The 12617-nt window shown below is 45.7% G+C and overlaps 2 protein-coding genes across 17 annotated transcripts in view, besides 4 other annotated features; one reads left to right on the top strand and one right to left on the bottom strand.

Moving 5' to 3' along the window:
- Positions 1-7449, top strand: part of POGZ (pogo transposable element derived with ZNF domain) — a 56771-nt gene extending 49322 nt beyond the window's left edge. For 15 of the 16 annotated variants that reach the window (NM_001194938.2, XM_005245005.3, NM_145796.4 and 12 more), the window contains 7 exons: positions 1345-1479; positions 1592-1764; positions 1933-2073; positions 2882-2938; positions 3150-3262; positions 3542-3566; positions 3709-7449. In NM_001194938.2, the coding sequence (NP_001181867.1) occupies positions 1345-1479; positions 1592-1764; positions 1933-2073; positions 2882-2938; positions 3150-3262; positions 3542-3566; positions 3709-5371 (2307 nt within the window). In that variant the 3' untranslated portion in view covers positions 5372-7449. Of the gene's footprint in view, positions 1-1344; positions 1480-1591; positions 1765-1932; positions 2074-2881; positions 2939-3149; positions 3263-3541; positions 3567-3708 lie in introns of those variants that run through there. The other variant, XM_047450074.1, reaches the window with a different exon arrangement.
- Positions 8236-10600, bottom strand: PSMB4 (proteasome 20S subunit beta 4). Its single transcript, NM_002796.3, has 7 exons — positions 10446-10600; positions 9986-10192; positions 9585-9731; positions 9328-9409; positions 8818-8934; positions 8543-8631; positions 8236-8356 (listed from the first exon to the last, which is right to left on the bottom strand). Exons 1-7 carry the CDS (start codon positions 10583-10585, stop codon positions 8344-8346), a joined length of 795 nt encoding a protein of 264 aa, NP_002787.2. The 5' UTR covers positions 10586-10600; the 3' UTR covers positions 8236-8343.
- Positions 9799-10520: an enhancer, noted in NCBI's record as "NANOG-H3K27ac-H3K4me1 hESC enhancer chr1:151372129-151372850 (GRCh37/hg19 assembly coordinates)". NCBI's record gives its function as "activates a minimal SCP1, AML or CMV promoter by ChIP-STARR-seq in primed H9 embryonic stem cells {active_cell/tissue: H9 hESC(primed)}" and the evidence as "EXISTENCE:reporter gene assay evidence [ECO:0000049][PMID:30033119]".
- Positions 9873-10030: a silencer, noted in NCBI's record as "fragment chr1:151372619-151372776 (GRCh37/hg19 assembly coordinates)". NCBI's record gives its function as "represses an EF-1alpha promoter that drives an FKBP-Casp9 reporter gene in an ReSE screen in K562 erythroleukemia cells {active_cell/tissue: K562}" and the evidence as "EXISTENCE:reporter gene assay evidence [ECO:0000049][PMID:32094911]".
- Positions 10521-11243: an enhancer, noted in NCBI's record as "NANOG-H3K27ac-H3K4me1 hESC enhancer chr1:151371406-151372128 (GRCh37/hg19 assembly coordinates)". NCBI's record gives its function as "activates a minimal SCP1, AML or CMV promoter by ChIP-STARR-seq in primed H9 embryonic stem cells {active_cell/tissue: H9 hESC(primed)}" and the evidence as "EXISTENCE:reporter gene assay evidence [ECO:0000049][PMID:30033119]".
- Positions 10871-10920: an enhancer, noted in NCBI's record as "active region_1720". NCBI's record gives its function as "activates an Ori minimal core promoter by ATAC-STARR-seq in GM12878 lymphoblastoid cells {active_cell/tissue: GM12878}" and the evidence as "EXISTENCE:reporter gene assay evidence [ECO:0000049][PMID:35858748]".

Here is a 12617-nt window from a genome sequence, read left to right as displayed (position 1 = left end):
TTCGTTTTAAAATACTACAAGAAGAGAGCCACTAGAGGAGAGTGAAAGGTATATAGTATATAAGAGAGGATTCAAAATGGAGAATAAGATGAGTGCATGTGTGCTTAATAGTCACATACATATGCACACAAACATATGTACCCTATTACACTCATAGTCTCCTTTGCACAGTAGTGACTGCTGATTGTCTACCACAACTGTATTTCCAAATAGGGGCATGGAAATTGTCTCTTAGCCTAAGCTTACAGAGCTTTGTTATCCTACTAAAGAAAATCATAGACATGGGTTCTATTTTTGAAGGACTTCAATACTAGGCAGACTGAATCCTCAAAGTGGTCTCACCAGGAGACATATCTGTATATACTGATGTGTTAAGTGAGAAAACAGCAAGGTATAGACAAGTGCTATCATTTGTGTTAAAAGGAGAAAAAGAAGAGGGCTGAGGTGGGAGGATCACTTGAGCCCAGGAGGTGGAGTCCAGCCTGGGCAACATGGTGAGACAACATCTCTACAAAAAGGAAAGGGAAAAAAGTAAGGGCCAGGCACAGTGATGCACGCCTGTAATCCCAACACTTTGGGAGGCCAAGGCAGGTAGATCACTTGAACCCAGGAGTTGAAGACCAGCCTGGGCAACATGGTGACACCCCGTCTCTACAAAAAAATACAAAAAGTAGCCGGGCGTGGTGGCACGTGCCTGTAGTCCCAGCTACTTGGGACGTGCAGTGAGCTATGAACATGCCACTGCACTCCAGCCTGGGCTACAGAGAGAGACCCTGTCTCAAAAAAAGGGGGCGAGGCAGGTAATGATTGGATATGAATGTATTTGTGATACAGTTATATGTGTAGACTGCCCACGAAAGCATACTCAGGAAACTGGTAATAAGTTGTTTGTATGGAAGGGGACTGAGTGTTGGAGTTGAAAGCAAAGTTGGAAGAGTATAGAAAAAAAAGTATGACTTTAGTTTACTATGTACATTGTCCTTTTTTAAAAAAAGAAGAATGAAGAATGTCCAGAAGAATGTCCAGTTGTCAGCAGTGTAAAGATATAATACAAATAAAGGTTACATCACTCATTCAAATTGTTAAAACAAGTCAGGAAAGGATGATTTGAGAACTTAGTCATCCTGGACTAGAATCCATCTTTCTTTGATATCATGGGAGGTGATGATTCTCAATGGTAGGTTTTGTGGTCATGTTGCATATTTCTTTCTTACTCTCTTAAATTATCAACAGAAAGGTGGGAAGAATGATATGGTTGACATTGATCTGCTTTCTCCTCAAAAAAGAAAATTTATTAGGAACCTTTAAGGGATTTTGTCTCTTTTTTTCCCTCCCCCACTTCAGAAGAGAAATGTTTATCACTGCAACAAATGCCGGCTGCAGTTTCTCTTTGCCAAGGACAAAATTGAACACAAGCTTCAACACCATAAAACCTTCCGTAAACCCAAGCAGCTGGAGGGCTTGAAACCAGGCACCAAGGTAAAGAGTTTGCCAGTGTCTTTTATAGGCCCAGGGAGGGAGGAATAGAGATTTTCAGTATTCTGAAATTTAGTGTGGGTGATGTCTCATTGTTACTTCCCTTGGTTCTCAGGTGACAATCCGGGCTTCCCGAGGGCAGCCACGAACTGTTCCTGTATCCTCTAATGATACACCTCCCAGCGCCTTGCAGGAGGCAGCACCGCTGACCTCCTCAATGGACCCTCTGCCTGTCTTCCTTTATCCCCCTGTCCAGCGCAGCATCCAGAAGAGAGCTGTTAGGAAAATGTCAGCGCCTTCTTCTAAGTGCTGGGCGGGTGGGGACTGGGTGGCCAGGATTATTCCTGATACACAGTGCAATCTGGTAGCTTTTTAGCAGGGTTTGTTGTCTGAAAATCCTACATTTTGGGGACCCATGAGGCAGTAATGAGAATTCTTTTTTTTTTTCCCCCACAGGAGTGTCATGGGCCGGCAGACATGCCTGGAGTGCAGCTTCGAGATCCCAGACTTCCCTAATCATTTCCCTACTTACGTACACTGCTCTCTGTGTCGCTATAGCACCTGCTGTTCTCGAGCTTATGCCAACCACATGATCAAGTAAGTTGGTTTTTAACCAGTGTTTTAGCTTGAGAGTTCAGATTCTTTTTTTCTTCTTCTTCTTCTTCTTTTTTTTTTTTTTTTTTTGAAGACAGGGTCTCACTCTGTCCCCTAGGCTGGAGTGCAATAGCATGATCTTGGCTCACTGCAACCTCTGCCTCCTGGGTTCAAGTGATTCTCCTGTCTCAGCCTCCCAAGTAGCTGGGATTATAGGTGTGCACCACCATGCCTGGCTGATTTTTTTGTATTTTTAGTAGAGACGGGGTTTCACCTTGTTGGCCAGGCTGGTCTCAAACTCCTGAGCTCAGGTGATCCACCTGCCTCGGCCTCCCTAAAGTGCTGGGATTACAGACATGAGCCACTGCGCCCGGCCCCAGCCAGATTCTTGAGCACTCATTTCATTTTCTCCCCTGCTTCTAATATGTTTCCTCCTTCAACTCTTAGAGCTATTTGTTCTTCTCTCCTAGCAGAGTGAGAGGCTCTGTTTTTTCGGTTTTGATGGTCTGTGCTCTAATTTCATAGGGCCTTGCTATTCAAGTACCAGTAGTATTAGGTGGGAGCTTGTTAGAAATGCTGACTCTCAGCCCCGCCCTAGGCCTACTGAACCAGAATGTGAATTTTAATAGATCCTCAGTGACTTGTATGCATATTAAAGTTTAAGAAGCATGGTGACAGGAAAACTGGCTTAGGTTGAGATTAGGGTGCACTGAAGAAGTGTCTCTTTTGTTGGGGGCATTGTCACTGGCTGGTGATCTCTAGCTTAGCCAGCAGAACTCCGTAACTCATACCACTTCTTTGTCTTTCTCAGCAATCATGTTCCACGGAAGAGCCCCAAGTATTTGGCTTTGTTTAAAAATTCTGTGAGGTAAGAAAAAACTTATTGGCAGCATCTTAATTTTTCAGGTTTTTACATTAATTTTCAGGTTTTTCATTATTTGGAGAGGTGGTTATGTGAATTAATTTCAGAAAAAGGAGAAAGTGGGAGGGCATTCCTTTTCTTTCTTAAGCCTCAAAGCTTAATGGTCTCAAGTGTCACTGCTGTGTTTGTCTTACATAGTCTCAATTCTCTTTTTTAGTGGAATCAAGCTGGCCTGCACTTCATGTACCTTTGTTACCTCTGTGGGCGATGCTATGGCCAAGCATTTGGTATTCAACCCCTCTCACAGATCCAGCAGCATCCTGCCACGGGGTAAGTAGGAGAGAAGGGGATTAGTTGAGCAAGGGGAGGAAAAAAGATACAGGTTCGTACTGTATGCATCAGGAGCATACCTACTTGGCCTCACTCATTCACTGTTGAGATGTGCTGGACCTAATTAGAAACCTTCCGACCTGAAGTTTATATAAAACTGGGAAAGCTGGTCACTGCGAACAGCGTATTTGTATGTAGTAAGTTGAATCCCAGGGCACTGTCTTTGGAGGGCTTATTTTTTCACTGAGCTAACTATTTTTGTTGTTTCATTTTCCATAGGACTCACTTGGATAGCTCACTCAAGGTAACAAAAACTCACCTCACAATTTAATTTCTGGTTTGCAGTGTGTTTACTCTGTTATTATTATTATTATTATCATATTATTGTTTCAATTTCCTAGTTGAACTGAGATTTCTCCTCTTCTCTTTGCTCCTCACCCCTTTAGGCATGGCCAGACTCGTGACCGAGTGCATGACCGGAACGTGAAGAATATGTACCCTCCTCCTTCCTTCCCCACTAACAAAGCTGCCACTGTGAAATCTGCGGGGGCCACCCCAGCTGAGCCTGAAGAGCTACTAACTCCCTTAGCCCCAGCACTCCCATCACCAGCCTCAACTGCAACCCCACCACCAACCCCCACTCACCCGCAGGCTTTAGCCCTTCCACCGCTGGCTACAGAGGGAGCCGAATGTCTGAATGTTGATGATCAGGATGAAGGGAGCCCAGTCACCCAAGAACCTGAGCTAGCATCAGGTGGTGGTGGTAGTGGTGGAGTTGGCAAAAAGGAGCAGCTGTCTGTGAAGAAGCTTCGAGTAGTACTGTTTGCTCTATGCTGCAATACAGAACAGGCAGCTGAACACTTCCGAAATCCCCAGCGACGTATTCGCCGTTGGCTTCGACGTTTCCAGGCCTCCCAGGGGGAGAATCTAGAGGGCAAATATCTGAGCTTTGAGGCAGAAGAGAAACTGGCTGAGTGGGTGCTAACCCAGCGCGAACAACAGCTACCTGTAAATGAGGAGACCTTGTTCCAGAAGGCCACCAAAATAGGACGTTCTTTGGAAGGGGGGTTTAAGATCTCCTATGAGTGGGCTGTGCGTTTCATGCTGCGGCACCACCTGACTCCCCATGCCCGGCGAGCTGTGGCCCACACCCTACCTAAGGATGTAGCAGAGAATGCAGGACTCTTCATTGATTTTGTACAACGGCAGATTCACAACCAGGACTTACCCTTGTCTATGATTGTGGCTATTGATGAGATCTCTTTGTTCCTGGATACAGAGGTGCTGAGCAGTGATGATCGAAAGGAGAATGCCCTGCAGACAGTGGGCACAGGGGAACCTTGGTGTGATGTAGTCCTAGCCATTCTGGCAGATGGCACTGTCCTTCCCACCCTGGTTTTCTACAGAGGGCAGATGGATCAGCCTGCTAACATGCCAGACTCCATATTGCTAGAGGCAAAGGAGAGTGGCTACAGTGATGACGAGATCATGGAGCTGTGGTCAACTCGAGTGTGGCAGAAGCACACAGCTTGCCAGCGCAGCAAAGGCATGCTTGTGATGGACTGTCATCGCACTCACTTGTCAGAAGAGGTACTGGCTATGCTTAGTGCCTCTAGCACTTTGCCTGCAGTGGTCCCAGCAGGCTGTAGCTCCAAAATTCAGCCATTAGATGTATGCATCAAAAGAACTGTCAAGAACTTCCTGCATAAAAAATGGAAGGAACAGGCTCGGGAAATGGCAGATACTGCATGTGATTCTGATGTCCTGCTTCAGCTGGTGCTTGTCTGGCTGGGTGAAGTGCTAGGTGTCATTGGGGACTGTCCAGAGCTAGTTCAGCGCTCCTTCCTGGTGGCTAGTGTTCTGCCTGGCCCCGATGGCAACATTAACTCACCTACAAGAAATGCTGACATGCAGGAGGAGCTAATTGCCTCCCTAGAGGAGCAACTGAAGCTGAGTGGGGAACATTCTGAGTCTTCCACTCCACGACCCAGATCATCTCCTGAAGAGACAATTGAGCCTGAAAGTCTTCACCAGCTCTTTGAGGGTGAAAGTGAGACCGAGTCTTTCTATGGCTTTGAAGAAGCTGACCTAGATCTGATGGAGATTTGAGTGTTGGGGTCATGAGGGGGTGTGGAGTGAGGGTGGGAACATGTGAGGGAGGGTAAAGGGGCTTAGGGAAAAGGGGGCATACCAGGTGGGGTATTTGGTTTCTATTTTTTAATTTTATACCACCACTCCCCCCTGAAGTTGACTTACACTTCCCTGTGGATTTGTGGATTAATTAGGAAAACCAATAGTAATCACGTCTGAGCCAAGGAGCTGGCCCATTGGTCATTCACTTCTGCTAAAAACAGGTTTTTGTGACTTTTTTTTTTTTTAAATTTAAATCACTGTGTTTGGTATTTTTCTGACAAAATTAAGAAAAAGAAAAAAAATTATTTGTGGGCAAATGTTAAATTTTTTTGTTTCCCCTTTTACCTCAATTGTATCATAGTACTGGGTTTTTTTGTTTGTTTTATTGTGTGGCCAATGTCTTTGGGCATGATGCTATCTAATCATTGTTAATGTGAGAACATTTCTGAAGATGGGAAAGACAAATTATGTAGCTCACAAACTGGTTTATTATATATATGGATAAAAAACTTTTTTCATTGTGGTCTTAACACTTTTATATAAAAATGAAAATGGAAAAAAAGTCCCACTGAACTCTCTCTTCCTTCTCCTTTTCTTTCCTTCCCTCTCCAGAGATGTTGGTTTCTACAGCAACCCTAGATATAAAATTGTGGCTTTAAAAATGCATGAAACCACCTTTAATTATCCAGAATGAATAGATTTGTCTTTTCCTCACCACCTTCCCTCCAAAACATGACATAAACAATATTTTTTGCACTTGTGATCCTTGGCCCCTTTCCCCATTCTCAACACCATCCATCCCTCTGGACAAAGGATCATACAGGTGTTATTAGCAAGCAAGAGATACTGAAGCGATCAAACAGTTTTAGGGTGGAAGCCATTCCCAGTTTGAGTCTTCATCCTGTAAGCCCCCAGGGGCAGTCCCTGCTTTACTGAACTTCATCCTGTTAGATGGAGAGCATGCCTGTTTAAGGGATTACTGGTCCTACAGCCAGGAGCTAATTGTTCAAGAAGTGTTGAACTTTAAAAAGACAAGACCACTTGTTGAAATCCAGCGTGCTCTGTGGCTTTCCCCTATTTCTCTTAATACTTAGGGAAGAATCTGACAGGAAGAAGCGCACAGGGGTGTGCACAAAGAAAATGACATGAATCTTTATTTTTCACTGCCAGCTTCAAGGAAAGAAAATTTTTTCTACAATTTGCATGAGGGATTTTTTTAATTGTATGTACTCATGGTTGTAAACCAAAACGTACTGTACCGTACAGAGAAAAGGAGCAAAAAACCAAGTCTTCTGTTTATCCTGAGGCTTTCCACAATGTTCCCCTCCTGTGAGCCAAGGAGGCAAACTGCACAAGCTTGTAAATGGTTCGTCTTTAAAATGTACATAAGTGGAACATTTAATAAAATGAGGGGAAATGGATTTATAAACTTGTTTTTTTTCTAGGTGACCCTGTTTAATAGGCTTTCACAGACTGGGGAATGCTCAAGATGTGATGGGCCTGGTGGTACAGGTGTGACATTTGTTACCACCCATTTCTCCCACCCCACCCTGCTTTTTTGTTTGTTTGTTTTTTCATCCCCCAGCACACTATAATATAGTGAACTGGAAAAGTCCCTTCCAGAAACAGCTTGGCCAGCTTTGTGAACCTTTGACATCTGAAAACAACCAAGGATCCATCTGGGCTTCTCTTCCCCAGCTTTTTGCCTGATGCCATTTTATTGACAGACAATGGACTTTGAAGTCAGCCTTTGCCTTTGAGAAAGTTCAAGAACTATGGTTGGTCACGTCTATCTACAACCTAATCCTACTCTTTGGTAGTCTCTGCAGCAGCCACAGCCTTAGCAGAGCTGGGGTTCCTGTCTTCTGCACACGATTGACTTTCTTGATGGGTAATTTTTTTTAAGATTATACCAACAGTGGATCAGCTGGGTTTTGGCCAGGAAGTTGTCTTTGTGGACTCTGCCTGCATGGCTTAGTAGTAGAAGGAAATTTTTTTTTGGTTTTGTTTTTTATAATTCAGTTTAATCAATAAACATGTATTTATTGACTGTTTCCTGTGTTGAGACTGAATGTGTGGAGGTTTCAGATTGAAAGCTCATTGTTTGGCTTTACAAGTTTGTTGTTAACGGACAATGCAAATGGAGGGATGGTTTTATTTTTTCCTTCAGTTCTCACTGAATTTCTGTACTTTGAATTTGCTGCCTATATTTTCTTTCTCAAGAAGTTTGGAGAGGATTTGTGTCAGAATCGCCTACAGTGTTCATTTTAAAAATTCAAGCTGGGCATGATGGCTCATGCCAGTAATCCCAGCACTTGGGAGGCTGAGGCAGGAGGTTGCTTGAGCTCAGAAATTCAAGGCTGTAGTAGGCTATGATCATGCCACTGCACGCCAGCCTGGGCAACAGAATGAGACTTTTGTCTCTAAAATATTCAGGTTTAGAACCATTCCAGGGATGGCTGATGCCCCAGCTGACTTGAGGGCAACCTGATGCAGAATAGTTCTACTAGATTATTTTTAAAGTGGTATTTTAATGAAAATCACAGCCAACATTAAGAAATCTGTATTTGATAATCCAGTGCAGTGGAGGAAGATTTGGGAGGGGAATTTGAACACAAAAGCCAGTTAGCACACAAAAATTAAGTCTGGCTTCTACAGGAAGCTCTGCTTCTAATACAGCTCCAAATGACGCTAGTGTGTCTTTCTGTGTTGTGCAGAGAGAATTTCTGTGTGTGCTGCAAGACCACAAGGGTTCTCCGACCAGGGAGGGAGATGGCACATGGCAGTACTCAGCAGTTTTGCACTTGGTGTGACCCAGTCAGACAAAAACCACTCAGCAAGCATTTTGAAGAATTTATTTACTTTACAAAAGAAGAGTCTATCTTTGAACTAGCCAAGTTCAAAGTTAAAAGTAGGGCAACTTCAGTTCTGGATAATGCATCTGTATTTCATTCAAAGCCACTAAAAAAGGAAGACAGAATAATAAAATTGTGAAGCATAAAGGGATCAATTCCTAAAAATAGCTGTACTGTCCAACCAAAACTTTCCACCCAGAAAATTTTCCTGGGTGAGCCTCCCAGAAAAGCCCAGCTTAGTGTAAGCCAAAGACCTCCCAAGTCTGTCACCAATTTTTTCCCTATTACTCACCTGATCATGTGGGCAATATCCCAGTTGGTCTCTGTAGACAATGGTCCCTCTATTTCAACACCTTTTTCGGTGACAGTGGCGATTTGAAACTGGAAGAAAGCAGAGCATTCAATAATGCCCACGCCTTAAGTCCTTAAATGAAAGGTCAGGTGGAGGTCTTCCCCAATGTGAAAATAGGAGTCACACAAGTAAGGCAATCTGTTCTTCAAAGCATAGAGACCCAGGGATTGCAAGTAGCCAGAGCCCGCCAATTAGGTTCCCAGCACATCCCTCACCCGGTTGTAAGAACGGGCATCTCGGTAGTACAGCACTCGCATGCAGCGTTCTACTAAGTCGCGGGCCTCGGTCTGGCTTAGCACTGGCTGCTTCTCCAGAACTTCTCGCAGCAGAGGCTAGGGAGATTGGGGGAAAACCATGGGGGGATATTGGGCTGAATAACAGGCTAGTTGTCTCAAATCTATGGTATAAAAAGCATTAGAGTGAAAGATGACATTCTACTTCTTGCCTCACCAGAATGAACTCTGCTTAGAAAATAAGCTAAGAGCCACTTCAGGAAGAAGTTCTAGGGTGTCCTCTCTTTGCATGTCTACTGACTCCCAGTCATGTCATCTTGTCACTGGAATCAGTGTCAACACCTACAGCCCCCAGACTACAAAGAAAACCATCTGCCCAGTAATAGCGATCCCAGCCCATCCCTCATATCAGAATTTCAGGAGAAAAGCAGACAACCACTAATCCATTTCCTTTTGTCTTCCCTTTCCCCCACCTCTAGACTTACTACTTACCTGAGCCAAGTATGCACCATAACCAGTGGCCAGCGAAGGGGCTTCATAGGCTACACCAAGCATGTCCACATAACCGAGGAAGCTAACAGGACACAATGGGTCAAAACTCATTTCACCTTAGATTCATCTTAGCTGAAGAAGGGGACCATGGGGTCTGAGTTAAAGTGGGATTCACTTGGGGAGAAGAGACAGAAGAGATACTACACAGGTACTAGGTTGGGTGGTAAAGGAAATAAGTTATTTGTATTCATATGAACCTCTCTCCATCAGCATAGCCTCCGATGACCATGGTGTTCCACAAAGGGTTCATCTTCGAGCGCCGGCTGTACATGGCCCTGGTCAGCCATGAATGAATAGCTCTAGGACTATAGCTGTGTCCATCTCCCAGAAGCTCCTCATCAATCCTTAAAAGGAATTGGTTGTGAGAAAAGGGAGAGAATTAAGTCGGGGTCTCCACCCATCCCCAAAAGAAGTTACCACACCTTCCCCCATTTTACACCTAATGCCAAAAACTTTATTGCAAACACAGATCGCCCACCTCCAACAACTCTTCCAGTCCCCCGCTGCAACAAGTCCCCCCATCCCATCGAAGGGAATAAAAAACAGGGGACTCCCCTCTCTACTTGGGAACCACTCTCCTGTTCTCTGGATGACTTACACCATCTGGCCGAGAACTTGCTTCAAATACTGGAAATCAGCGTAGTCGCCAGAGGCACCCAGCATGGTACTGTTGTTGACTCGCATAATGCGAGAGATGTTGCGGAAACGAGCCAAGGAGCCGTAGGATCCCAGCATGTCTGCGGCAATCACCACTCCGCCCTCGAACTTAACGCCGAGGACTGAGGTCCCGGTCACCATGGGGTTCCTAAAGAGTGAGAACGGTGGGAGCTGAGAGGGGGGATGGACTGCGCCCTCTTTCCGCGCACTGAGCTGCGCTTCTGATTTTCTATAATTCCTTCCAATTATTCTGCATTCTCCAGGACTCCGCGCCCTGAGCTCCCCTGCCGTTCGCGCGCCCCCGGGGTCCCCGCCTCACCTTCCCGGGCTCTCAAAACCAGCCGGCAGCACCAGGCCCCACGGTCCCTCCCGCTACGCAAACGAAAGCGCCGAGAACTTACTGGGTCCGCGTGATTGGACCTCTGTAAAGTGCAGACGCCGGATCCATGAAGGAATCGGGAGTGGACGGAATGCGGTAAAACTGTCCTGGGGCCGGACCCCCCGCCCAAAGTCCGGACCGCGACCCCAAAAACGCTTCCATCTTAGTCACGGTAGCAGAAAAAATGAAAGCGCTTGCGCCAACGGAAGCGGAAGTGATCCTTCAGTGTCATTTCTTTCTTTTTCCTGTAGACGACTTCCAGCAGCCATGTTGATGAGGTCGTAGCTGAACATGCAGTAATCCTAGGTGGCGACCGAGACAGGGAGTTGAAATTGCCCAACATCGCTTCGCATCGCATCGCATCTCCGTGGAGTTTGGACCAGATCACAGCGTTCTAACACACGATTCAAGGAGGAGGGAGGCATGAAGGTGGGGTGGGGAGGTGGCCACTTAAAGACGCTGATCCTGAGTGAGACGTCACAATTTTTTATTTTATTTTTTATTTTTTTGAGACGGAGTCTCGCTCTGGCCCCCAGGCTGGAATGCAGTGGCGCGATCTCGGCTCACTGCAACCTCCGCCTCCCAGATTCAAGCGATTCTCGTGCCTTAGCCTCCCGAGTAGCTGGGATTACAGGCGCCTGCCACCACGCCTGGCTAATTTTTTGTATTTTTGCTAGAGATGGGGTTTCACCATGTTGGCCAGGCTGGTCTCGAACTCCGGATCTCAGGTGATCCGCCTGCCTCGGACTCCCAAAGTGCTGGGATTACAGGAGTAAGCCGCCTCGCCCGGCCTAGAAGTCACAGTTCTCATGTTCCTTTTGTATCATTATCAAAAAGCCCACATGAAAATATCAGTGAACACAGGATCTCTTACATCTGTACTCCTCAGAGCAGCCCCATGTGGCAGGCATTATTCGACCCATTTGGTAAATAGGAAACCGAGGCTTGCGGTGTAGTGATTTACCCAGTCACACAGCCGATAACGGTAGAACTGAATCTTGAAGCTAGAATAAAAAAAGGAATCAGGGCCGGGTGCGGTGGCTCATGCCTGTAATCCCAGAACTTTGGGAGGCCAAGACGGGAGGATCACTTGAACCCAGGAATTCAAGACCAGCCTTGGCAACATGGTGAGACCTCACCTCTACAAAACAAAACAAAACAAAAAATTAGCCAGGCCTGTAATTCCAGCTACTTGGGAGGGTGAGGTGGGAGAATCGCCTGAACCCGAGGGAGGTTGCAGTGAGCCAAGGTGGCGCCACTGCACTCCAGCCTGGGCAACAGAGCGAGACCCTGTCACAAAAAAAAAAAAAAAAAAAAAAAAAAAAAGAATACACTTGTGTATACCCTGTGGGGTGTGATAGCTCAGGTGGATCAAGCACTCTCTGTGGGACCTTAGACAAGTCTGAAAGTTTCCTTATTGTCAAGGGCCCTTGCCCACCTCTAAAGAAACAGAAAAATTCCATTGGAAGTGTAGGGGTGAAACTAAATTCCAGGGGTTTCCTTCTCAGTGTAACTCCATAGCAGGGGCTGGAAACTGTCTTGAATCAAACTGGTGAATTTTGTCAAAGATAAACAAAGCCGGACACTAAAGTGGAAAGGACAGATTTCAATCAGTAATAACTACTACAATAAGGAAAAACAGTTCAGCATGAACTGAACTCAACTGCAATTTGTATGCAAGTAATGGGTATTTTATAGGGAAAATGAGGTTAGGGGACAGTGAGACAGAGGGTCAGTAGAGTCAGGGAAGTGAACATTTACAGAATTAGTCAATGTAAATGTGCTTAGGTCAATGATGTCTGCTAGCTGGCATTTATGGAAGTTAGGATTCCATCCTCCCACAGAGACTGGTGAGGATACCATCCTCAACACTGTCCTTAGGTGTCTTTTGTTTGTTTGTTTTTTGAGACAAGGTCTGGCTCTGTCACCCAGGCTGGAGTGCAGTGGCATGATCTCGGCTCACTGCGACCCTTGCCTCCCCGGCTCCAGCGATCCTCCAGCTGCAACCTCTCGAGTAGCTGGGGACTACAGATGCCACACCCGGCTAATTTTTGTTTTTGTTTTTTTTCTTTTTTTCTTATTTTGAGAGGGAGTCTTGCTCTGTTGCACAGGCTGGAGTGCAGTGGCACGATCTCAACTCAAAGCAGCCTCCGCCTCCCTGGTTCAAGCGATTCTCCAGCCTCAGCCTCCTCAG

The sequence above is a fragment of the Homo sapiens genome, chromosome 1 (assembly GCF_000001405.40).
Source record: "Homo sapiens chromosome 1, GRCh38.p14 Primary Assembly".
Classification (NCBI taxonomy): domain Eukaryota; kingdom Metazoa; phylum Chordata; class Mammalia; order Primates; family Hominidae; genus Homo; species Homo sapiens.
This window is presented reverse-complemented; position numbering and strand designations above follow the sequence as displayed.

What these genes read in the sequence shown, in the direction of transcription:
- PSMB4 (NM_002796.3), bottom strand. Translation starts at nt 10,585, where the DNA reads ATGGAAGCGTTTTTGGGGTCGCGGTCCGGACTTTGGGCGGGGGGTCCG. An exon ending in GGTCCAATCACGCGGACCCA is followed by an intron (nt 10,193 to 10,445) that starts GTAAGTTCTCGG and finishes CTCACTCTTTAG; the next exon opens with GAACCCCATGGTGACCGGGA. An exon ending in ATGGTGCATACTTGGCTCAG is followed by an intron (nt 8,935 to 9,327) that starts GTAAGTAGTAAG and finishes CAATCTCCCTAG; the next exon opens with CCTCTGCTGCGAGAAGTTCT.